The following is a 26975-nucleotide window of genomic DNA, read 5'->3' as shown; positions in this document are numbered from 1 at the left end:
TCCATTGTGTGTGTGGCTCCAGTGAGCCAGCCCAGTGGCTCACTCCCAGCCCTCACTCAGGTTTGTAAGGAACCAGTAACACTTATCAAACATCTCTTATGTGCCAAGGGCTTGCATATATTTCTCACTTAATTCTTTACACATTTCTGTAAAATATGTTGTTTCTGTATTATACATGAAGAAATTGATGCTCAGGACTAACGATAATGTCTACTCTCTTAGTTCATTTTCTGTTTCTTATAACAGAATATCAGAAACTAGGTAATTTATGAAGAAGACATTTATGTTTTACAGTTATGGAGGCTGCAAAGTCCAAGATCAAGGGGCCCCATCTAGTAGGGACTCTATGAAAAGTCCAAAGGTAGCTCAAGGCATTACATGGTGAGGGGCTGAGTGTGCTTGCTCAGGTCTCTCTTCCTCTTCTTGCAAAGCACCAGTCCCACTCCCATGATAACCCATTAATCCATTAATCTCTCAATACTGCCACACTGGGGGTTAAATTTCAACATGAGTTTTGGAGGGAACGAATATTCAAACCATAGCAGCTACCATTTGCTGAGTGTTTATTGTGTACCAGGCACTATCTTAGGCAATATGATTTATTTTCTTGTCAGTCAGCATTTCAGTTGTTTCCAGTTTTTTGCTATTATGGGGAGTACTCCATAGACCTTCTTGAACATTGTCTTCATGGGCACGTGAACAAGATTTTCTCTTGGGAATATGCTCAGGAGTAAAACTGCTGAGTAGAAGGTATGTGAATGTTCAACTTTACCAGCAATGCAAAATTATTTTCCAAAGTGACTGTAATAATTTATCCTCCCGCCAGAACATATAAGCCTACTCATTGAGCCACATCCTATCCTACATTTGGTTCTTATTTTTACTAAGCTCATGGATACAAAATAGCATTTTGGCTTGATGTGTATTTCTCTGATTACTAACAAGGTGAATAATCTCTTTTTATATTAATTGGCCACATGTGTCTCTTTTTCTGTGAGATGTCTGTTCATGTCTTTTACCCAATTTCCTATCGAATTGTTTACTTTATCTTGTCGGTTTGTAGGAGTCCTCATATTTTGTATACTAATCTGTAGGTTGTTATATAATTGCAAATATCTTCTTCCTGCATGTGACTTGGTTTTTTTTTACTTTCTTTAAAGTATTCTTAGCATAAGTTCTTGGTTTTAATTGCGTTGACTTATCAATCTCCTCTTTAACAATTAGCACTCTTTGTATCTTGTTTAACAAATTTCTCTCAATCTCCTTTAATTTCTTTTGAAAGTTTAAATTTAAAGTTTTGTTTGTGACACTTAAGTCCTTTATATATCTATAATTGACTTTTGAATATGATTTGAGGTAGGGGTCCAATATAATATTTTTCTGTGTAATATTTTTCTATGATGGAAGGCTGTTTTTGCCAGATCATCTATTGAATTTCCTCTCCCTGTCCTCCACCTAACCCTGCCCCAGCACACACTGCTGCTATTACCTGTCATGTATCAAATATTCATATGTATTTCTGGGTTCTCCCTTCTGTTCCATTGGTCAGTTTGTCTGTCCTTAAACCAATACACACGACTACTATGGTTTTATAATGTTTCCTTATCTTGTAGCACAATTCCCACTCTTTTCCTTCTGCTTATAAAAGTAACAAATATCCATTTTAGAGAATTGAAAAAGTCGGCCAGGCGTGGTGGCTCACGCCTGTAATCCCAGCACTTTGGGAGGCTGAGGCAGGTGGATCACCTGAGGTCAGGAGTTCGACACCAGCCTGGCCAACATGGCAAAACCCCATCTCTACTAAAAATACAAAAATTAGCCGGGTGTGGTGGCATGCACCTGTAGTCCCAGCTACTTGGGAGGCTGAAGCAGGACAATCACTTGAACCTGAGAGGTGGAGGTTGCAGTGAGCTGAGATCGTGCCACTGTACTCCAGCCTGGGTGACAGAGCGATACTCCGTCTCAGAAAAAAAAATAAAATAAAATAAGAAAGAGAATTGAAAAAGTCTACAAAATTCCACAGCAATAAAATTTCTTCTAATCTCATCATTTGAGTACAACAACAGTTAAAATTTGGATGTATATTTTTCTAGAATGTACAAATACATAGTCACATGAAAACACACACACACACACACACACACACACACACACACACACATGCATTTAAGTATAGACATATTCATGCTTTAACAAATTTAAAATAAGTATTGATTGTTTTCTCTATGCAAGGCTGTATGTCTAAGGCTTTATTGTTGCCAAAGATGAGAGATAATATTTAGGAAATATGATCATGCTTAAGATACTAATAATAGAAGGAAATTTGTTTTCAATTTGGCAGCTAATATAATTCCTATTTGGATACCTTATTCCAGAAAGGCATTTATTTTGTATCCCTAAGCTTTATTACTGACCTAAACTAAGAAAATAAATATCTCTGTATTCCTAAAGTAACACACTTATCTTCCAAGCAAACCGCTATCAGCTTGTTTAATAAAACAAAACACTGTGTATTACATTTTAAAGGAGCTATACCTTAGCCTTCAAATAAGATTTGTGTTTCGGTCCTCAGTTGGCTGCTTATTAACTTTATGACCTTGGACAAGTCCTAGAACTTCTCGGAGTCTCAGTTTCTTCATCTTTAAAAATGAAGAGAATATCTACCTTGCGGAGTTGCCAGGAGTGTTAATGTATTTTTTAAAAGCCTCATGAAATGCTTGCCAATATTTGCTTTTGCATTTTTAATTAGCTTTTGTTTTATTGTAAAAGTAATATGAGCTTTTCTTGTAAACTTTTTGGATCAGTACAGAAGGGTACACAGTAAAAAGTGAAAATTCCCTTCCCTCCACATGTACCCCATCCTTCCCCCGAAATCAGTCTCACTCTCCTGAAGAAAATACATCAAATTCTCAGGATATGTTATTACTAAGGACATTCTAAAATTCTATGACAGGCAAAACTCCTTGAGATATAAACATAACCTAACAAGTAAGCTAAAATGCCAGAACATTTTATTTCTTTGATGGCTTTTATTTTTAAGTTTCTCTATTTGCAGGCATTTTAGGAAAAAAAAATTGAAAATAGAAACTTACAAATTAAGACATGGGAGAAGGTGTCAGGAATCGCCTCTAATTTAAAATCACAGTTCATATCTCCTTGCAGCGGCAGTGGGAGAGCAGAGCAGGAGCCACGATGGCGGGGGCCATGGCAGGACAAGCATTTAGAACGTTTCTCTGCTCCTTGACTGAGTATTGGTTGAAAGGCATGCACCCGAAACCCTGCACTCAAAGCCATGACATGAGGTTGGTGCAAAAGTAATTGCTGTTTTTGCTATTGAAAGTAATACTTCCAGAAAAATCTTGGCCGGGTGCGGTGGCTCATGCCTGTAAACCCAACACTTTGGGAGGCTGAGGTGGGTGGATCACCTGAGGTCACGAGTTTGAGACCAGCCTGACCAACATGGAGAAACCCTGTCTCTACTAAAAATACAAAATTAGCCGGGCATGGTGGCGCATGCCTGTAATCCCAGCTACTCGGGAGGCTGAGGCAGAAGAATTGCTTGAACCCAGGAGGCGGAGGTTGTGGTGAGCCGAGATCGCGCCATTGCCCTCCAGCCTGGGCAACAAGAGTGAAACTCCGTCTCAAAAAAAAAATTATTATAATGGTAATTCATACTTATGGAAATGTCTAACACTTGTTAGGTGTATAAAGTAAAAAAATGAAATTCCTTTCTTTCACTCCCTCAATTTTACTCCCCAGAAATTATCGCTGTGAACAGTTTTGATTGATGTCTTTCTTATTTCTTACCCACAAGACTTCAAGATGCCTCAGCTTAATTGCTTGGTTTCATTCCTTTTGTGATATAATATTTATTTTGCTTTGGTTTGCTTGGTGTTGCATCCATCCATCCACTTATTTCTTGATTAGGCACTTACTAGATCATCTGCTCTGGGCCAGGGGCTAAGCAAGGTGCTGGAGACTCTTGACATGTCAGACTTGGTCCTTGCCTTCACCCCTAACCATAAATATAATATTAAGTGCTTTCAGTATAGTCAGTTGTACAGGATGCTATGGGACAGTTAAGGAGGGACACCTAACTTAGGGAATCTGGGAAAGCTTCCTGGATGAAGTTTCCTAAGTTGAGAACTGAAAGCTGAGCAGGCATTAGGCTGGTGCAACAGCCAGAGCTGTGAGACAATAGTGCACTGGGGAATGATGAGAAACTGGAATGAAGAGGACAGCTGTATAGGAGCTGGGCCTGAGGATGTTGGAGAGAGAACAAGTTGAACATAGAAAGGGGTTCAGTCATGAAGGACTTTGTAAGGTGTGCTAAGAAGTACACACAATGAAGGAAGATGGACCTCATGAAAGGATTGCAAGTAGGAGAGTGACATTGCTATTTTGGCATTTGAGAAGATCCCATCTGGCTATAGTGGGGAGGAAGAATTGGAGAAGGTAAATGAGGAGACAGGGGCAATAGGAGCCCTTGTAGTAGTAATCTAAGTGAGTAAGGATGGTGGTCTGAATTACGGCAGTGACAGAGCTGGTGGGAGAAATAGATGGATTCAGGAGTAGAAGTCTTCTTTATGCAAAGGTCACTGAGAGTGAAGCCATTTAATACAGGGGCCACTTGTTCAAGTAAATAGTGGGACAAAAGACTTGATTAGAACTCAGCTTAAAAAATTAAACTAAATTAGTTTTTAACCCCTATTTTAATATTATCAATAATTATATAGGTTATAATTACAATTATTAACTAATGTTGAAGATGAAGAATGAATAGGAGTTTGGGAGGTATAATCTTTCAACACAAATTTTATGGTAGTATGATAATGGCATCTTTCACTTAATGTTTAAGTTTAGCAGCAAGTTCATAATAAAGGTCATTTTGAGAAAAAAATCAGTATTGGTCAATTTTCCCGTGTTTCTTCCTTCAGTATACACATCATTTTCTTGCTAAGCGCTATTATGTCATCCCCTTTATGAGTTTTTTTTTTTCTTTTTCAGCTGTTAACTAGTTTAACTAGGCAGTACTGTCATTTGTCAAAAGCTTTGCTTGTATTTAGAGCATTTCTCCCAGATCACTTCGATTGGCTTTATGAAACTCTGTATCCTTTAAAAGATTTGCACTTGTCTTAGCAGTTGATTTGCTTTAGATTTGTAGTGTAATATAGGTAATTTGTAATTATAATTTGTAATTGGCAAGGAATTTTAAAGTCAGGGGTAATATTGTAAGTGGTAAGTTCATTGGTAAATATTTTGCTGTTATGATGACTTTTGCTTCTCTTTGTAACCTGTTGTCTACAGGGACTTGGATAACAAATACTTGGATAATGAAAACATCCAATAATTAATGTGCCACCTACTCACCAGGATCATGGCCCAACAGGGAAATGTGGAACAAAGCTCTCCTCAAGGGGAAAGAAAATGGGTAAGGTCTTCGTCTTCTAGGACTAAATCCTTTGTGTACATCAAAGATACAACAGAGGAGAACATGAAATGCCTTCTTCAAATTTCTCTTCCGTGCTTGCATAGCTGAAGATATTTTCTCAGTAGTGCTCACATCAAAGGCTATGGATTTGCTGGAAAAATCTCTGTCACTTTCTGGAAGGAAGCCCATATCTCATTACTAATAAGAGAGCATCCTCTTACCTACTGATGTTTTCTAATGAAAGGAAAAAAAAGAAAACCTTTTCCCACTTCCTCCATGGCAACATAGTGTTCTCTCCACCCACTCCCCAGTCCTCTATAACCATCCCTAACCCAAAGGATCTAGGAAGATTCTGATTTATGTTATTGTTTTCATCCTCATGAAGATTTAATGTACTGGGTTCAGTGCACTGATCTTGAATTTACATCATTGTTAAAATCTTTTGATTAATGACTCATTGATTGAATAGCCAGCTATCTAATTCCCTCCCTTCTTTTCTTTCTTCCCGGTTTTCTTTAATAAGTATGTACCGTGTGCCACTGCATGGCAGGCACTAGGCTGGGGGCTGGGGCTGTAACCCAAACATCATCCCAATACAGTGGGAAGCATCACAGGAGAGTGACTGGATCTGATTTATGATGATTGAGAATATTTTCCTCATTATGAATCTGTATTCCTGCCCTGTAAGGCATGACTTGTAAATAAGTACTGGTTTTCATAGAAAAGCCTAAGGAATGCTAACCCTAGCTAGACATTTTATTACATCTTTGCTGTTTGGCTTCTCACTCACTGTCCTTTGTTTGGTGGGAATCTTTGTGAGCAGCAGCAGTTCCCAGGAGTAGAAGCTCAGATTGAAGTCACAGAACTGACTCTGAAGCCATCTCCTTTGTGTATGGTCCCAAGAGCTTCAAGGTACACAGGGCCTAGTGTAAGCCTGGGGAAAGCTCAGGGGATTTTAGATCACACCTCCCCAGCATTCCATTTTCCAAAAGCAACACTCAGATCTTTTCGACTCAGATCCCCAACACTCAGATCTTTTCCACCCTCTCTCCTGCCCACCATTTCTTCTCTTAGGTGTGCCAGCTTGGCTTTTTCTGCTCCTGAATGTTTTCCTTCTTCCCACACATATATTTATATTTCTTTAGAGAAGCAATTCAGCTCTAACCTGGAAACTCCACTCCTGCATTCCCACACCCAACATTTAACAACGTGATCTTCAAGTAGGTAAAACAAAAACAACCATTGCACTATACACAATGACCCTGTAGATAGCCAACAAAAGAGACTCCAGTTTGCAACTGTGGCTCCAGTGCCTTCTCTGCATTAATTCATTTACTGATATTGTGTATTGGTGTGACTTCCTCTACAAGCAGAACCTGACACAGGGTTTAGGAGTAGGAAGTTTCTTTGGGCAGAGGTGATTTTAGGAAGCAGGAGTGAGGAAGTGGAGAAGAGAGAGACTGGGAAGGAGAAAAAGCCTCTAAAGTTACATTAGTGAGCTGGTTCTTTTTGTGGACACTGGGGCTCAATCGTGAGGGGATCCTCTCAGGAACCATGTAGAATGCCTCTTGAATGGTTCTTCTGAATGATGGAAGGATGGAATATTTATCTACCTACTCACGTCCCCTTCTGATTGAAGGTTGCTCTCAGGGATGGTCACACCACTCTTTTGTGCTGCTTGGCCAGAGTCTGAGCAAACTCCCCCAAGGGCAATCTCTGGGCAGGAGGGAAGCTGTCAGCAGGCACAGGAGCTGTCCACCACAGCTGCAGCTGAAATCAGAGGCAAGCAGAGGAAATGCAGCGTTGGGCACCAAGAGTGGTGGCCTCAAATAGCATTCGCCACAGTTGTATTGTATTTATTCATTCTTCCTTGGTCTCCTTCATCAACTAATAAATTCCACAAGGACAAGGGCAGTGTCTCCATCTTTGTTTCCCCAGTGACCAACACAGTGCCAGATTCATGGGGGCCATTCAGGTTTTATTTGTTGAATGAATGAACTAACAAAAGATCAGTGGACTGAAACTAGAAGTCTGAGTTTTGGTCCTAGGTGGGTCACAAATTTTGGTGTGACCTTGGATATGTCAAAACCTTGCTTGCAGGGGGGCTGGTTACTTATTAACTTACAAATTCCTATTAAAAATATAAACATCCAAGCATCATGGGAGAAAATTCCCTGTCAGTGATTGACCTTAGAATAAGATAATATTCTCTAACTTCATGGCTTTCTCTAATTCTAGGCTTAGGTCCTTCTGAGGTGTAAAGATGAACACTGTTGAGATAGAAAGAGTGTGCTACAAACTTGGTTACCTGAAAAATGTTTCATTTTATGCAGGATACACGGCTTGGAAAACCTTCACTAACACTCCCATATGAAGAGTGATAGAATGCTAATTTCCCACAGATTCATTATCACCATGAAATGAAATTTTGGAACACATCACAGGTAAATGTAATGTGCAAATGTAGAATTCAACAATTCAAGTTTTAGCTGCCTCATGTTTTTACACCTCTGTCAACAGGACCCTCATTAAATTTTTTTTTCCTATGATTGTAGTTGAAAGGAAAACTGAAGAAAATATTATTCTGGATAGAAAGATGTCCTTTCCATCTAACCTTTTATGAAGGGAGCCCAACTGTGTATGTGTGTATATATATATATATACTCCTAGTTTTTTTTTTATCTGATTACAAATATTTACTGTACCTAGGGACTGTGCTACATCCTGGAGATACAATTGTGAAGTACTCATACTCAGTCCCTTTTCTGGTGGAGCTTGTAATCTAGTGGAGGAGGACTACACTAACTTTTTTTTAAATGAGTATAAAATTACATTCTAAAATAAGTGCTTCTGGGAAGAAAATTGGTTTTATTAGAGCCAAATACTATGAAAATATTATGTTCTGGGAGGTAAAAGAAGGTTTACCTCCCAAAGTGGGATTTGAGTAGAAAACTATAGAATAAGTAGCTAGGGTAAGTAAAAGCAAGGGCAGCATGTGCAAAGGCTCAGTGGCAAAAACAAGAGGAAGTCTTGCAAGAGCTGAAAGAAGGGCAGAGGAGCTGGCTTGCCCAGGGCAAGGAGGGGTGTGGTGCCAGTGATGCTGCAGAGAAGAGCACAGACAGACTAGGCAGGCCTTGAGAGGAGGCTGAGGGTTCTGGCCTAAGAACCCTGGGAAGTCATTGAACAGTTTCAGCAGAGCCTGGTGACCCGGTCAGGTCTTTGTATTTTATAAGAGGGCCTTTGTTTTCACATCTTCTTATATTTTCCATAATTATATGATCAATTCGAGCAATAGTATTTGTTTTCCTTGAATTATCCTGATAATTGCAGACATACACATACACATATATATATTGTTTTTTCTGAAAGATGTTAGTCCAGTTTGCTCCAGAATTATCATTATCTTTCACTCTCATTTGGATAACAGAATTATCAATATATTTCATTCTCATTTGGATACTTCTGGGCACTGACTCTATTTAGCTAAGAACTAAATTAACTCTGTCCTGGGCTATGATGGGGAATGAACAGAGAACCCTATCCCTGTGTATTAAATGTGCAGGTGAAATTGCCCTTCTCTGTTGGAAACAGTGAGAGTAACAGCCATTCCATCACCAAGATGGGTTCAAATTGAGTTGTCTGGTGGCATCTGCAGGGCCTCTGTAAACTATGTCTATAATCCAAATTTCTTAGCATTTCCAAAAAATGGATTAAGTTGCTTTGACAGGCTCTGTTTTTTATGAACCTCTTTGGCTATGACTTACTATGTTATTTTTCTGAAGATGCTCATGGACTGATTTATGATTTCATTTAGAGTTTTGACTGGTAGTTTGGATGCGCTAACTAGCCCACCTTTTCCTGTATCTGCTTTTGGCTGCTTTAGCTCCAACACTAAATCAGCCTGCTTAAATTTCCCTGGTACATAACTCTCTATGACAAACACTAGTATTGCAGGTATGTCCTGCCTTAGCTGGTTCTTTGAATTTGTTCAAATGAATCTCACCCAGCTGTACTGATTTATAAATATTTAAATTGTATAAGTATTCTTTTACCTGCCTCTTATTAATTCTGTTTCTTGATATTCCCAGAGACTCATTAATATTTATCTTACTGAGCTCCTGCTTCCTTCGTTCTTTGTGCTAAAGGCTGAGACAAAATAGTAGCTCCATAGTCATTCTTCTTTGCATCTTTCATTATTTTCTCTCACCCCTGACTTAGCAAAAGTAGCCTTTGTTTTCTTGGGCGTATCATCCTATTTTATTTTTGGAAGCCTTTGCGGTAACTTCTTGCTTCTTCTGCTTCTCTAATTCTGCCCTTTCAGCCACTATCTCTTGGAGCTATATTTTCTTCATATAATATTCTTGTCCTAAAACTCTACACAATTGGATTTTTGCTTTTTTTCCCCTTCAAAAAGGAAATATTCATGATTTAAGCCTTGTATGTGTGTGATTATATAACAGCACCCAGCAACCACTTATGTGTTCTTTTTTTAGAGGCTATACTTGAATGCCCACACCCATGTTCTTTCTTTCGGTAGAAGACCCAGGGTAGTAACCATTCAGTTCTTGAAAGATGGTCTGGATGCAGAACATCACCAGAACATTGATCTGAAACAAACAACAAATGAATGTAAAAGCAAGACAAAGGACTTCCAATAACAACAAAATATTAGTAATAAAAAGATTCCTGGAAGAGTCCAGGAATCTGCCTCATCAGAAACACACTGGGATTTTTTCTGCTTGTTTGTTTGTTTGTTTTTTGTAGAGATGGAGGTTTCACTCTGTTGCCTAGGCTGGTCTTGAACTCCTGGCCTCAAGCAATCCTCCCACTTCTGCCTCCCAATACACTGGGATTACAGGCTTGAGCCACCGTGCCCAGCTCACACTGGAAATTCTAATGTGTTTTCAAAAGAAAACATACTGTATACTATACACAAACACACACACACACACACACACTGAGAGAGAGAGAAAGAAAGAAAAGAGTGTGTACAGTATCATTGCATTTATTCAAAGTTCAAGAATAGGCAAAACGAAATTATAGTGACAGAGGTCAGAAGAGTGGTTCCCTCCGGGGATGAGTATTTACTGCAAGCAGCCTGAAGATGCTGGAAATGCTTTACATCTTAGTCAAGGTGGTGGGTACATGGGAGTGTACATATGTGTATATATACAGGTTCATCAAGCTGTGCCTTGTGATTAGTGCACTTTAAAAATGTAACACTTGGGAGGCTGAGGCAGGTGGATTGCCTGAGCTCAGGAGTTTGAGACCAGCCTGGGCAACATGGTGAAACCCCATCTCTACTAAAATACAGAAAATTAGTTGGGCGTGGCAATGTGCGCCTGTAATCCCAGCTACTTGGGAGGCTAAGACAGGAGAATCGCTTGAACCCGGGAGGTTGCAGTGAACTGAAATCGCGCCATTGCACTCCAGCCTGGGTGACAGTGTGAGATTCTGTCTCAAAAAAAAAAAAAAAGTAACTCATTTACTGCATGTATTATACCTCAGTTAAAAAGTAAACCAAAGGAAAATGCAATCAATGTGTCTACAAAGTCAGTTGCTAGAAGTGGTAAACATTTCAATAGCTATGGACTATGTCTGAAGCTATCTGAAATGTTATCATTTTTAAAATTTGGTACCTACCTGCATACATTTACGTTATTGGACAAACTTACCTGCTCAGTAGGCTGGTGGCATGAGAATGATTGTGACTTCCATTTCTTGAGTAGCTACAGTGTGGTAGGCATTGTACCCACACTTTGTCATCTCCATGCAGAGATGTTATTATTTCCATTTTCCAGATGAGGGCATGAACCAGAAAGATCTCAAGTATCTCAAAGAATATACAGCTAAAGAGAAGAAATTAGAGATGTAAACTCAGGTTTTGAAAACACCGAAGTCTATTATATACTTTCTTCCTCTCTATGGGGTTCCCAGGAACCCTACATGATTATGTGTTAGTATTTTTACTAGTCTTTTTACTGTAGGCAAGGTATTGTGCTGTGTGTAGCTCTCAAATATTCCTATCTCTTTTTTTAAAGAAATAAATGGATATAGATACATTGAAATGAGTTACAAATAATATTGTCTGGCTCGATCTCAAAAGCATACCTAATTTGACCAGCACAGGAAATCTGTGAGCTAAAAAAGATGTTTATTTGCCCCATTTTACAGATAAGGACTCTGAGACTCCAAAAGGTTAAGAGTGGATAGCTAGTAAATTTCAACCTCCGGCAAGCTGACTTCACAGCTCACACACTTTACTAGTCCATATACTGTGTGTTAATGATTTTTGAAGGATGTAACTGAAAGAAGAATTAGATTGATCAGTTTTTTAAAATACGAAAAGAGTTTACAAAAAAAATAGACCTGAATAAAGGGAATATTTGTCAGATTTATATCCATTACTAAGATGAATTTGAGAAACTATACTAGTTTATTGGATCTTTTCTGCTGTTTTGAAAGCTTATGAGTTGATGAGTTCAGTGACTGTGTGGTTTTAGACATTTTGAAAGAGGCCATGCAATGGCTGCAATGCTTACACATGTGGTTGAAAGCTGAGGTTCTGGGCTCTGTCCGTCATCTGTCTATAGACTTGTCATCTGAGATGACAGGTCTAAGATATCTAGTCCTCTTTCTTGCTTGCTTGCTTTCATGACTATTTCTGGCACTTCTGTAGCTGTCTTGGATAATTTCACTCTAGTTCTGTTATTTTAAAGGTATTTTCTTATGTGTAATAAAATCTATCTATGTATTTCGGGTCAAATATTATCTCTATGGAGATGACTCTTATTTGGATGCTTTTGATCCTAAAAGAATTTTTGTAAAATTTCATACACTATCAGATTATCATATTTCCTTGTTACCCGAATCTTTATTTTTTTCCGTTTCCCTCCCATCAGATTTGAATCCTTTAATCAAAAAAGACTTCCCATCCCCACTTTTTATTACTAAGAATAGCACGATGATCAATCTTATATTTTTCACCTGGATTTGTCAATTGTTAACATTTACCACATTTGCTTTTTTAATCTATTTATAGTGTGTGTATGTGTATGTATGAATGTATATGTATGTTTTAAACCATTTGAAAATTAATTGCAGACATTGTAGCAAATATTTCAGCAATCACCTTCTAAGAACAAGGAAATTACCCTGCATAATCACAGTACACTGATTATATTTGAGCGTCTAACCTTAAGATCATTATCTAATATACTGCTCATATTCAAATTTCTCCAATTGTCCCAATAATATCCTTAGACTGCTTTTTTATTCACTCCAGAATTCAGTTGAGGATACCACATTTTATTTAGTTATCGTGTCTTTTTAGTTTCCTTTAATCTAGAACAGTTTCTCAGAATTGTTAATGTTTCATGAATAAAGATCTTTGTTTTAAACACTTTCATTGAGTTCCAAGGATGGTTCTAGTTATGACCACTCATCAAATACCTGATTTGTTTCATAAATTATTCCAGTTTAGTCCTGCAAAAGTAAAATACTAAAATAATTCTTATGCACTTTGGAAAATATGTAAATAACTTTAAAATACATGTTAGGACTTCAGTGATTCTCTACTGTTCATCCAGTAGACATGTTAGTTAGACTCGAAGGACACAGAGATGAGAGAGCTTCCATCTGAAAATCTCTCTCAGTTTTTGATGATTTTGGAGTTTTGTACCATCCTGCGATTTAGAAAGAAAGCAAAGTTTCCACCAGTCTCTTTATTGTGACAGTCTGCTAAACTAACAGAAATCAGAGACACCACAAATGGCATGCTGAGGAGGAAAACAAGTTGAAATGCAAAGCGTGACTAATAATAAAATGTTATTTTCCCAAAAGTGACCGTTGTGAATGCTTCTATCTCCATCATATACAATTTCTTTTGATACCAGGCTGAGCCTTCTGAGGAAGCAACTGGGGCTTCCTTGCAAAGCAAGAAAATTAGCAATTGTTCAATGACTAAAAGGACAGTTTTGTGAGAAGTTGCCATAACGACATGATGAGGCTGTGTGTCTTAATTTCAGTCACTTTGAATTGGGCTCGATGTTGTGTTTTAAAATATGAGTCAATATTTTAGGGGCTTTGAAGAAAAGATGTAAATGTGAATTGTATGGACTGAGTCTTCTTCTGAATGCAAGTCTATCAGTAGGAGAGTTTCCAATTGACTCTCCTAATTTCTGCAGCAAACAAATATTTTTCTCTCAAGTGGAGCTTAAATGCTGTTTCTGGAAATCTACTTGTTCTGCACAGAGAATTTGATAAGCTATCAGGTTACACATTGCCATTAAACAACTCAATATTAAGTCTTTCATTCACTAACATATTAGTAGGAAATCCGAGCGTATATTCCCCAAATGTCAAAGGCAATGTCAGCCATGAGCATTTTGAAGATGCATAATTTTATTGGCTAAAATAGAAAACCACCTATATGATATTTTTATTCTTGCTGTTTTGAGGAAAATATTGTAATAGGTAATATTTATTGAGTGCTTTGTGTTACACTATATGATTGACATCTTTTATGTGCATTCTTTAATTGAATCTCCATGGAAAACCTAGGAGGTAGGAATTTACATTATCATCTTCATTTACAGATGAGAACCCTGAAACTCAGAAAGGTTAAATAACACATTCAGTAAGTGTTGGCGTTGGGATCCAGTCTCAGAGCCTCTTGTGCTGGAATCCAGTGCAGATTCTGATTCAGTGGATGTAGATGGAGCCTGAGATTATACTGTTCTAATAATCTCCCGAGAGATGCTGCTGTTGCTGATCCAGCGACCATACTTTTGAGTAGCAAGGGTCCAATTCACTATATAATGGTTCTCAAACTTGAGTATTATATGGGCTGTTTGTACAGGAAAAACTGGGTGAACTGCTTGAAATACATCTGAAGACTTTAATTGCAGAAACAACAGTGATGATGTAGTTTAACATAATTAGACTCTTTTTCAACTAGAAAATATCAGCAGAAGTTTTCTTGTTATGACCGTTAAATTTTTTTTAAGATTATAATTTAAGTGACAATAATAAAACACTTGTACAACTCATGAAAGGCAATGCACAGTCTATAAAGTCTTGGGGGGTCTATGAAACCCAAACTGAGGAACAGTATACTACCCTATGTTACATAGCAGTTTGTAAATCAGTTGCATTGAATCATCACACTTATGAAATAGCTATTCTCCAAGTTTTGCTGGTTGTTGCTGCGTTGATGAAAAGAAAGGCTATTACTTGGAAATTTTTCCATTAATCATGATTCTTTCCAAGCAGTTATTTTGGATTACTTGCAAAACAAATTTATACAGTCGTTATTATGTATACTTCCTTTCATGAAAATATAAATAGATACCACTACAGACTGGACTAGAAGGCAAGCTTTTCTATTTTGGATAGTCTCTGTAGAATGCACTATTCCCATAAAATTCTAAGAAGGAAATAATCCTGCCCTCAATTGATCTTTTAGGTTAGTGGTGTTGAAGCTCTCTAAATGAAGGAAATAGATTTGTCACTGACAGAATGATTGTTATGCAAACATGTCGTTGATATTTAAACCTAAGTGATTGGTTCATTCAGTGAAAATGTTTACTTGAGCAAAATAAGCCAGAGAAGGCAAGAGGAAGGGGCCTTGAGCTGTTGTAGAAGTGTAGGTGTTACAAGTTTTTTCACCAATGCCCATCTTGAAGCAGTGTAGTATTTTGGTTAAAAGATTGGTTCTGAAGTCAGACAGATCTAGATTTGAATTTTGATTCTGACAATGATCAGCTGTGTGGCCTTGGGCAAGTCACACTGGCCTCACTGACCTCTTTGGAAAAGAAAGAGTAAGAGTTCCCTAGCAGACACAGTCAGTGCCTCTCCAGACCATGTGGATCTCTTAAAATTGTCATAAATGCCAGCTGCTGATGCACTTTCTCTCCCACTAGCACTTAACCAATGATAGGTGTGGGTTAAATACTCTGGCTCCCTTTCCTGATCACGACAACTTGGAGGTGTGCTACATGCACACTCTTATGTGCATCAGAGTCCTAGCGGGACTTGTTAAAATACAGGGTGCTGGGCTCCACCCCAGAGTTTCTCATTCATTAAGTCTGGGGTAGGCACCTGAGAATTTGCCCTTCTGGCAAATTCCCAGGTAATGCTGATGCTGCTGGTCTGGGGACCACACTTTGAGAATCACTGCCTACACTGTCTCCAGAGTTCCCTGAGGGACTGAGCAGTTTCCCTAGGTAAGACTTTGCTTGTAAGGCACCCTTTCTTGGCTTCCTTTCCTTCCCTTCCCCAGCGTACTTTCTTGCTTCCTTCCCCACCACCACCAGTCATGGGAACACTTCCTAACACTTGCAACCGAATTCTTAGTTTGGGAACCCAAACTAAAATAAGGGCTCCCCTCAGAGAGGTGTTCTGAAGATAAAATAAGTTAGCTCCCAGTATCAAAACTTACTCCCCTCATCTTTGAAAATCATCAATCTTTTTGACCTCCCCACTATCCAAGATGATTTTACTATATTTCACATAGTAAAATATGAATAAAAAACCAAATTTGGTTTATATATGGTTTATAAACCATATATGAATATAGTTTATATGGTTTATAAACCATATATGAATATGGTTGTTTATATTATAGAATAATATGTAATTTATACTCCTCCAAATAAAAACATTATATATAGTATATGTACAGATACGTGTATATATATATGCATATACATATATACACATAAGTGTGTGCATGTGTGTGTGCATGTTTATTTCAAACTATTGCTCCTGTAGATGTAATATCTCTTCCCTGGAGTCTCCAATCCCAGCCCCTTGGAAATCAGTAAGGCAGAGTTCTTTGGGTCTAGCAGGAAGAATGCTGCCTTCATAATTATGTTGGGGAGTATGCCTGGACAGGGAATAATGTTTAGCTGGAAGGGTGTTTGCTGGAAGGGTGTTTACCTGAATGCTGGAATACAAGGTAGGTCATTGTTGCTGTTTCTCCAGTGGTAGGAAAACTGGGACATTAAAAGACATAGTGAGGTTGGGAACTTCTGGATCTTTGTAGCTTGGACAGTATATTATGTGGAACCATCTTTGAACACTTAGTACTTATTTGTTTGTTAATAACTGCATATTGAGGCAATATTTTGTAATAGGTAAAAGCATGGGTTCTTCACTATGACTCAATAGCAAAAAACCCCCCAAAAAACAGATTTAAAAATGGCCAAAGGACTTGAGTAGATATTTCTCCAAAGAAGACCTGCAAAAGTTATGTGAAAATACGTTCAATGCCATGAATCATCAGAAAAATGGAAATCAAAACCACAATGAGATATCACCTCACACCACTTAGGATGGTTATTATGAAAAAGCCAAAAGACATGCATTGGTGAGAATGTGAAGAAATTGGAATCCTTGCACACTGTTGGTGGGAATGCAAAATGGTGTAGCTGCTCTGGAAAACACTATGAAACTTCCTCAAAAATGTAAAAATAAAATTACCATATGATCCAGCAATCCCACTTCTGGGTGTTGAAATCAGGATCTCAAAGATATATCAGTACTTGATGTTCATTGCAGCACTATTCACAATAGCTACAATATGGCAACAACCTAACTGTCCATCAACAGACAAATAGATTTTTTTAAATGTGGTATATATACATATAGTGGAATATTATTCAGCCTTCAAAAAGAAAGAAATCCTGCCATGTGTGATAACATGGATAACCTTGGAGGACATTATGCTAAGTGAAATAATCTAGTCACAGAAGGATAAATAATGCATGATTTTACTCATAGGAGGTATGTAAAATAGTCAAATTTGTGGAAGTAGAGTGGAATTGTGATTGCCAGAGAGCTGGGGAGAAGTAGAAACAGTGAGTTGCTAATCAACGGGTATAAAGTTTTACTTATGCAAGATGAATAAGTTCTGGAGATTTGCTGTACAATACTACCTATAGATAGTAATATTGCATTGTGCACTTTAAAATCTGTCTTACCATAATAAAATTTTATTTAAAAATCATGGGCTCTGGAGTCAGATTGCCTGAGTTTCAATCCTGCCTTTACCATAAACATGAGCAAGTTAAAAACCATTCTAAGTCTCTATTTCCTCTTCTGTAAAATGAAGATAACACCAATCCTCTTATCTGTAAAATGACAAAATAAGAAGTTGTTTTTTTTCCTGTTTTTCACCTCACTGATCCACATAAAGAGGTCAGTGCATTCCCTGGCAGAGAGTGAGAACTCCATAACGATAGCACTATTTTCAGTTTTGTTATTTTCATCATTATTATTGTTGGTTAATAACACTAGTTAACAGCACTAGTTGAGTGCCAATCATTAGACAGTGTGATGGCCATAAAGATGAACCGTAAGTCCTAGTACTAGGATGAATTTATAAATCCTAGGGAATTGACATGTAATTTGAGTAGTCAGGCTAAAGAAACTGCTGGATAGGGCCACATGTGAATCCTGCCCTGAGGCTCCAAATTGGTGCCCCATGTTCGACAGGTGTGTGGATGTGATGTTGGCATCCACACACCCTAGCATAACTTTGCATGGATGTGCTCTATGCAAAACAATATTTGCTAACTCATCAGGCTTCACTGGATGATAAATCCATCACCAGTTGAGAGCTTTACACTTGTTTGCAATTTGTAAACTGCTGTAGCAGTTATGACTCTCTACCTATAATCTCACAGTCAGAAGAATAATTGCCTTTGTTAGTTTTCTTAAATCTTTCCTTAAGTTTTCTCATCCTGCAAGGGTGGGTTTAATTTCAACCTTGGCCATTATTGGGATACATTTCTTCTCTATGTTTCCTGCTCTTGCCCCCTACCCAGGGTGCCGTGCAAAAGTCTCTTGGGTCTCAAATGGTCTCAAGAAGTGCATGGAGGTAAAATGCAGACACCCATTTTGTCAGCCTGCAGACTTTCTTGAGCTTGAGGTGCTGGAATTGGGGCTGAGGTGGAAGTTGAGTGCCCCCAGAGTGCTGCCACAACGGGCCTTAAGTCTTAGCTATTTAGCAGGTCCCCCAATCTCTGTCTTCTTTCCCAACTTCCCTGAGACACGTTTCCCTCTTTCTTCCTCCAGCCCTTAAAGTTACCCTTCCCTCTCTCTGTCAGCTCCAGAAAATCCATAATAGTTGTTTCAGTGACTCTGGATTTCCATACAAGATAGCCATTGCAACTGACTTCAGACCTCTTCTGAAACAAAGAAAGCCAAAGCCTGCTTCTCTGTTTGAAATGAGCATCATAAAATTACAGAAGGAACCCATAGAAGGGAATACCATCCCCAAATTACCCTGCAGTTTTTCATCTGATTGTTAACTTCATTCATTTGCTTGTTTATTGGGCACCCACTATATGCCAGACAAGACATTGGGTGCTGAAGGAACAGGAGTGAGCCAGGCAGGCTTTGCCATTGTGGGACATCTAGAAACAGAGGCAGGATACCCCAGGCTGTGTTGAAATCCCACCTGTGCTGGAGACCAGAGGCAGCAGCTCCTGCCAACTGGACCATATTATTACTTAATGTTGTCGAAACTCATGGTTGCTTTTATTTCCTTGAGTGCAGCTTATGTAAGCAAAGCTTGTGAAGATGAAACATTTGGAAAGTCACAGCCAGTTGTTTTGAGGGCTTTATTGAGCTGAAAGTTCCTGGTTGAAGTATGCCACTTTTGAAAGGTGGCACTGACTGATTTTCGCTGCCTCTTGGCAGGTGTCTCAATTTTCTTTGAGTTTTCTTGGAGGAGCTGGAAGACAGAAGCCAATTATTTGCCAGCATTTTTTTTTCTTACCTCCCAGAGGTGCCTGAAACACTTATTGTTGGTGCTTAATTATGTTTGAATAATTTTTTTGCCCTTACTTTGGAATTTTGTTTTTCCAACGAGTCTGAGCTTCTTGAGGATACAGACTGCATTGTATCCTTACATGAATACTCAATGCATAGAATTATTTGCATTTGTTTGCAGGGTAGACTTTGGGTGATGGCAATTTTTTAATACCCTTTCATGTATAGTATCCCACGTTGTACTTGTTACATTTAGCTCCCTTGCCTGTTTTGGCTGTTGATACTTAAATTGCCTTTCTGTGCCTCAATGATGATTTCATTTTATTTTTCAGTAACCCTTCAAGGAAATACATAAGGAAGCGATTCCCACTATTGGCATGCAGTAGGTGGCATGGCTTGGTTCCTTAAGTGGGAAGGCAAAAGAGAAAGGCAGGGAGCAGACCAACAACCATCCTCAGCTTATCTTTTCCTATTTATTTGTAGCCCAAACAGCACACAATTTATTTGTAGCACACAGTTGATATGTACTGGAGCGTTAATAAAAGAAAACAAGGATGCAGTTTAATATGTTGTGTAAGAACATGGGCTTTGGGATTCTATGGACATTTGAGTCACTATTCTGACTTTTCATTGCTGGGTGATCTTAGCTGGTCACTTTAGCTTTCTAGTCATCAGTTTCCTCATGTATGAAATGATAACATATTGGTACCTACTTCAGAGGGTTGTTATGAGGATAAAATAAACGAATGCATAGAAAATATCTAGTACTCAATTGTTATTCCCTATTGTTATCCATTATGGTGTCTTTCTACTACCTCAGACACTTCACAAGTTTCCTGGAGCAAAGCTATGGAACATTAGAACAATTAATGTGGACCCTGACACTTTGAGAACATAAGTAGATATTTAAACCAGCTAGTGATTAAAAGAAAAAAATACCTTGACTAATAGGAATAAAATCAACCTTTCTGCCCTTCCCTTCTCTTGCTTTGACCTATCAGGGTAAAGCAGATGAACTTGCCCTCTGATTCTAGTCCACGTATTTTTCATGCTTGTTGAAGATTTTCTTCAACAATGCCTTCTTCAACAATGCCTCACCCCACCTGGGATGGTTAATTTTATGTGACAATTTGACTAGGCTGCAGTACCCAGATATGTGGTCAAATAATAGTCTAAATGTTGCTGGGAAGGTATTCTTTTAGATAAGATTTGACATTCAAATCAGTAGAGCTTGAGAAAAGCAGATTACCTTCCGTAATGTGGGTTGGCCTCACCCAATCAATTGAAGGTCTTAAGAGAAAAAGAGATTGACATCCCCAAGAGAATTCTGCCTCCAGATTGCCCTTGGACTCTGCAACATCACCTCTTCCCTGGGTCTCCAGTCTGTAGGCTTACCTTGCAGATTTTGAACTTTCCAGTCCCTGCAATTACATGAGCCGATTCCTTAGAATAAATCTCTCTCTGTACACACCCCATGGCTCTGTTTCTCTGGAGAACCCTGACTAATAAGCCATCCTATCCCCCAATTTTAAAAGCCTGATCCCGACTAAGTTAGGTAGGCTTTGATATCTCAATAGGGCAAGGGAGAAGAAGGATATGAGTATGGCCTATATTTCCTCCTATGCCTTCAAATAGGGCCTTATTTCTGTACCAATGCAACCAAACCTTCGCTTCATTTTCAGAAGCAAAAGGTTATGATGCTCAATCATCCAGCATGTTAGATTCTCAAGGGAAGATGAAGTCCAGTACATGCTCCCTAAAAAGGCAATCTAGGAAGAATTTCAGCAGTAAGGGCTGGTGTATAGGGATTTCTGGTTAATTAAATTAACCAGAAAGTGTCATTCCTGGAGCAATCTGGTTAATCTATCTCTGAATATATTTTGAAAAATATTCCTAAGGGACCTTGAGACTGTTGAAAGGAAATTCAACTTTTGAAAGCATAAGAGCTAAGTAACAGACACAAGTTATACATTATGACTCTGTTTATATAATTTTGTAAAAATCTGGCCAATTTCTTCCATTGCAGATTTTATTCTACTAGCACTAATTTATCACTTGTTTTTAAGACTAATTTTCCAACTGCTTTTTTTTCCCACAACTAACTTAAACTACACTGGAATGGCTTGCATTTCAAGGTGTGTAGAATGGTTGAATATATTCTTCTGGGGCAACATTTATGCTTGGGTAAGCTTGTTGAACTTTTAGGCATTTTAACTACCCAACATCCTCTTACTTGGGTGTTACATGGTGTGGTTAGCACTTTGGCTAAGATATTTCCTAGCTCCTTAGGAAAAAGTATGTATTTTTAATGTCTAATTTAGATTAAAATAGGATTCATTTTACATTAAGCTAATGTAGCTTAATAGGATATAGTATTTGCTGAGGGGAAAAAAAGAAATCTTGCTCATCTTTTAATTTCTTATTGAGCTGTGCATGTAGTTTCAATAAAATATGTTGAAATATATTTGAAGAAAAAACACCCCCTTACAGCCTGCATTTATTTCCAGGAAGGTTACCAGAGTGCTGCTGAATTTAGTGGGCTGTCACTACTACTCTTACTTATTATTGACTTTCATCAGTATTTTCTGCATGGGCTCTTCTGGGAATGGGTCTCTAGATTTTAGATGCAAATAGGATGAAGCTAATGCCTGCTTGTCTGGTAGCTATGTGCAGAGGTGAAAAAAAATGCTGGCTGGTATATGTTATAATCACAGAGGCAGCAATGGTGAAAATCAAGAGGCAGGAGGAAGATTATGTTCCATGTTGAACAGAAGCAGCTCAGTGAGATACTACTCAAGAGAATATAGGTTCCTCTAGGAAATAGCACAAAATCAAAAAGGAAGGGAAGATGTACTTCTGACAGAGCAAAGACATGTGTTTCATGTTCCCAACCTTCCAGGATTATTTGTTTTAGGGTAACGTGCTTCTTATGGAAGCCTTGGAGCTAAATACAAAACAAACTACAGTTCCCATGCACCTCTGTTCCAGACAGCCTCTCCAATCCCCCTTGGCAGCAAATATTCATTTTCTTGAGCACTTGGCTCAGTGAAGCAGTGAGGTAAAACTGGCAAAGACAAGAGATTTTAAAATCTTGTGCCGCTGTGAGATTATGGAGAGAAAAATCTTATGTTTAGGTTTACTACATTGTAGGGTATTGAGTATAAACAGGAAAGAGAGCTCTTCCAACAGACACTGAACTAGACATACATACCATACATGCTCTTCACAGACTCTACTTGGCTTTCTTCTAAAAACGAGGTTGATGGGAGAAACAAATTAATTAAAACACGCGTATAGACCCTTTCTTTGCTTCACGTATTTGGATTTGTTTTCCTCTCTTAACAAGAAAGTAAAAAGTGGTTTTTGGCTAAAGGGAAAAAAAATGTGTTTGGGGCCAAATGTGTTTGTCAATGTTTGTCTCATTGTCTGCTTTGCAAAAAACATCGTAGCTATAAATTTCATATGTAATAAATAATCTGTTGTTAGGGGAAAGTGTTATGATGTTGAAAATGGAAAATGAAGAGAGTCCCTGGCAAGTTGAAAGTTTCTGTTCATTTGAACATTAGACAGGACTCTTCCTCTCATTATCTCTCCCTACCCTTTTCTTCTGTTAATTTCGAAGACTCTTATGTTTCTAGCCTTAGTCTCAGATAGAGATGAAATGACGTGCAGCATAAGACCTTCCTCAAATCAAACCATCATAATTTCTAATGATTGGGGCAGAAAAAACTTTTCCTCTACCTTCTGAGATTCATTACCCGTGGGCGTGTGAGTTAAACTGACAAAAGACAGAATAACAGAAGAAAGAAGAGTTTATTCATATGCACACATGATCTTAAAAAAGAAGTAGCTGGATAAATGATTAATGGTTAAGGTTAGAGATTTACAGATCTAACTTAGTAGGGAAAAGGGAGGAGGGAGAAAAGGCCTCTATGGGAGGACCAGATGAAGGTCTTTAGGAAAGACAAATGGATTTCTAGAAAAATAAATGCGAGAGAAGAAAGTTTGTAGTATACTTGTTTATGCAAGTTTGAGTGGTCTTTTCATTTTCTTCATTGTCATAAAACTCCCTCAAGAAGGGATTTGTCATAGGTTTACTCTTGGTCTCCTTCCTGGGAGTAAAAGCTGCCCTGAAGAGGGAATTTATGGCAGCCTCATTTCCCAGGAGTCTGTGCTTTTAGTCAGATAAGGGAAGCCCCAAGAAGGCTTCTTTCTGCATCTGTTGAATCTCAAATGTCTTCAACTTAAAACAATCTGTATACCAACTCTGGGGTTCAAAGCGGATCTTCACATTATTTTTAAGCTTGATGGCTCATTATTTATGAACATATTGCATTAAAACACTATATGTTTTGTGACTTAGGTTTTGGCACCTCCTTGAATTTTGCCCCAGAGGTAAGCATCTTGCTTGCCTCATCCTAGTCCCGGTATTTCCCTGCTTGTCAGCAGCCTTTTAGAAGAAAGCTTCATATGTTGAATGAGGGTATTGATTAACCAACTACTGTCCTCTGTGGTTGAGGGTTCCCCCTGGAGGCATTAAATTCCTGGCATTTTTGAAGAAGAGAAAGAGAGAGGCTGGGTATATGAGGTTGGAAGCATGCATGGGCACTGTGCACTCAGCTGAGGGGGTCCAAGAGGATATGGAGTGAGGAGACACCAAGGGGCCAAGATCTGGATGCACTGTTTCATCGAATCTTTCCAGTAATGCCAGGTGCTCATCAGAGTCAGGGCTAGAGTGAGGTAGGTGAGCACCAAAAGACTCAGTCATGGAGATAAATAATATTTTCACACAACACTTTAAAAACTCAAAATTAATCCAAAAACGATTAATGCTAAACAAAATGTCAACATTTTAACTAAAGACAGGATCCAACCTTGTACTTGCATGACTCTACTTCATTTGCATCACCCTAAAACTGGCCCTGGCTCCAGTGAAGCTTTCTTTATGAAAATAGATTGCTGTAGATGACCAATTTGACTTTAAAAGAAATATTGCATGACAATATTATTAATCTTGACTACTGAGTTTTTGGCACTCTCGTATATTTTGCTACTGAGGCAAGTGCCCCACTTGCCTCACCCTAGCCCTGGCCCTGGCCTTAGTATTATCTCTATCTTCCAGACAAAGAAGCTGAGTCTGAGACACATGAGGCAGATTGCTGTAAATCACATAGGTGACCCCAGACACTCCAGAGTGAATGACATCAACCACCAATGTGGACCTCTCTCCCAGTCACTGGCCTTTTAGTGGCTATGTCAAGAAAATGTGTGCATTAGTTAGAACTCTCCAGAGAAACAGAACTAATAGGATAAAGGTAGGTAGGTTGGTAGATAGATAAATGAGAGGGCATTTATTAGGGGAATTGGCTCACATGATTATGAAGACTGAGAAGTCCCACGATATGCTGTCTGCACACTGGAAAGCCAGGGAAGCCAGTAGTGTGGCTCAGCAGATGGTGTAATTCTGAGTCCAAGGCTGAAAGGCCTGAGAATCTGGGGGGCCGCTGATGTCAGTCCCAGACTCCAAAGACCCAAGAATCTGGAGTTCTGAGGTACAAGGGCAAGAGAAGAAGGGTGTCTTAGTGAGAGAGAGAGAGGGAGTGCACTCCAGTTCACCTTTCCTTTGCTTTTTTGTTCTATACAAGCCCCTCAACACTGGATAGTGCCCACCCACATTGGATGAAAGTGGTTCTTATTTATTCAGTCCACTGATTTAAATGCCAGTCTCTTCTGGAAACACCGTCACAGACATGGCCTAAAATAATGCTTTATCAGCTATCAGGGTATTCCCTAACCCATCAAGTTGACACCTGAAATTAACCATCAGAGTGTAGAAGTGATACAGAGTTCCCCACCTCTGCCCACCCTCCTAAGCTTTCACCTAGTTCGAGTACAATTGTGAGAACTAGGCATATAGCTTTGCAGGAAAAAGTACAGCAGAGTTAAATTGATGAAGAAGTTCTAATCCCTGGCTGCTTTTCATGCTACAAGTAGATGCAGCAAACTGAAAACTTGCCAATTATCTGAAGGTCTATTGAGATGTTGCAGCTGCATGTGTTTATTTCATAACTGTAGAGTACAACTTGGGAGTGTGTGTGCTGTAAAAAGAGAAGTTGGACATTTTATAATTTTTCAATATCTAATAATTGCACATGAATGTACCTGATTTTCCATTAGCTAAATGGGGTTGCCAAGAAGAACTAATGAATATTGAATGGTTGATTTCTGTCACTTTTTAAAGGTGGGACTGGACATGAAATTATTTCTTTTAATACAGAGACAAAGACAAGTGACTTTAGAATTTAATGAAAGGTGCCAGATTGGAAAGCTCGCTGGTACAGCCTTGCTTCCTCTCCACATGCACTTACAGAAGGTTCTCAATATGGGTTTTACTGACTAATTGATAGCTTAACTGATGACCTGTTAGACACAAAGCTTTAGGATACAAAGCAGGTAAATTATACAGGTTGGCACCAAAGCACCTTATAACATACCCAGCTCTTTCGTTTTGGGTCCTCACAAATGGTAAAAGTGTGAGCTGGGTGTTTTCCTAGTGAAAACGTCATTGATGCACTGTGAAATTCCGATAGTCTTGGAGAGAAGTATTCTGAAATTTCTGGTTTGGCTGTTTTCATGGTAAGACTTAAATATCGGTGTTCACCAACTCTCTTCTTCATTATTGACCATGCCATGCTTTTGTTTTCCTGAAGATGGATTTCTTCCTTAAAATGCATGCAGTGACATTTTTATGTTACCTATACAGACAGGCATTTATTTGCTCCTTTACTTAAAATGATTCTAGAGGCACAGAAGACAATGGGTTTGACACATCTCTACTGGCGATCCCAAGGTGGACAGATGTCCACTGATGACCACAGGTTGAGTTTAAGACCTAGCTTCTTAAAAATGGGACAGCCTACAGTCATTATCTATTGAGTTTCTAAAATTAATTTGAAATGTTGGCTATTAAAGGGACAGAGAATAAATGACTCCTAATGCATTTTAGAGCATAAAATTAGAATGGTGTTGCTTGATTGACAGCAGTCTAATGTTACTAGCAATTATCTGGTTAAAAAAGGGAGGGGGGCATGTTTCTTCGAAGGCACAATCTTCATTTTTGTACTTGGTAAATTATTAACCATTCTATTAGAAAAATAATGAGCTGCAGATTAAATGGCAAAGGCACAGTTAAGGAAAAAATGCCTTTTGATAATTTTGACCTTGGAAATGTGATGGGTTTGGATTAGAAATAGACTAGTTGGTTCCTCATCTTAGGCCTTTTTATTGCAACATAAGGTAGGCCTGGCTGTAAACTCAATACAAGAACAGTAAGTCTATTCTATTGCCTAGAATAAAGGACATTATAAATATACGGGAAATGTCAGAATAAATTTAAGTACCTTCGAGAAGCATCTGCTAAAGGGCTACTGTGGGTAAAATACTGTGCTATGACCTTGAGAACAAAAAGAATATAAGAGCTGGTCATTGCCAATGATGAGTTTACTGTGTGGCTGGGGAAATAAACACAAGTATGTGAATAAGTGCAGTTCTCATGGCTGTAATCCATATGGGTCAAATGAAGTGCTACATTGTATATTAAAGATATTATAATTTGGTAATAATGGTATTTTTAAGGGTATGAATTATGATGATTATTAGTTAAAGGAGTTTAAATGAAAGGAGTAATTGTAGCCAATTAAGAAATATGATAGGAGTGCTTGCAATGAGTACGGCATGTGCTAGCTATTGTTGGAGGGGCAGATGG

The 26975-nt window shown here is 38.5% G+C and overlaps 2 long non-coding RNA genes across 3 annotated transcripts in view, besides 1 other annotated feature; one reads left to right on the top strand and one right to left on the bottom strand.

Moving 5' to 3' along the window:
* Positions 1-26975, top strand: part of LOC105377114 (uncharacterized) — a 144240-nt gene that overhangs the window by 105469 nt on the left and 11796 nt on the right. For both annotated transcript variants that reach the window (XR_001740725.2, XR_940892.3), the window contains 3 exons: positions 3163-3302; positions 5308-5431; positions 7765-7875. This is a non-coding gene — a long non-coding RNA (uncharacterized LOC105377114). The remainder of the gene's footprint in view (positions 1-3162; positions 3303-5307; positions 5432-7764; positions 7876-26975) is intronic.
* On the bottom strand, positions 7393-24757 carry LOC105377115 (uncharacterized). The gene is made up of 3 exons (XR_001740726.2): positions 24583-24757; positions 11107-11280; positions 7393-10038 (listed from the first exon to the last, which is right to left on the bottom strand). It is a non-coding gene; the product is annotated as an uncharacterized LOC105377115 (long non-coding RNA).
* Positions 23578-23872: a silencer, noted in NCBI's record as "tiled region #1523; K562 Repressive non-DNase unmatched - State 24:Quies". NCBI's record gives its function as "represses a minimal TATA promoter and a strong SV40 promoter by Sharpr-MPRA in K562 cells {active_cell/tissue: K562}" and the evidence as "EXISTENCE:reporter gene assay evidence [ECO:0000049][PMID:27701403]".

The sequence above is a fragment of the Homo sapiens genome, chromosome 3 (assembly GCF_000001405.40).
Source record: "Homo sapiens chromosome 3, GRCh38.p14 Primary Assembly".
NCBI classification, from domain to species: Eukaryota; Metazoa; Chordata; class Mammalia; order Primates; family Hominidae; genus Homo; species Homo sapiens.
This window is presented reverse-complemented; position numbering and strand designations above follow the sequence as displayed.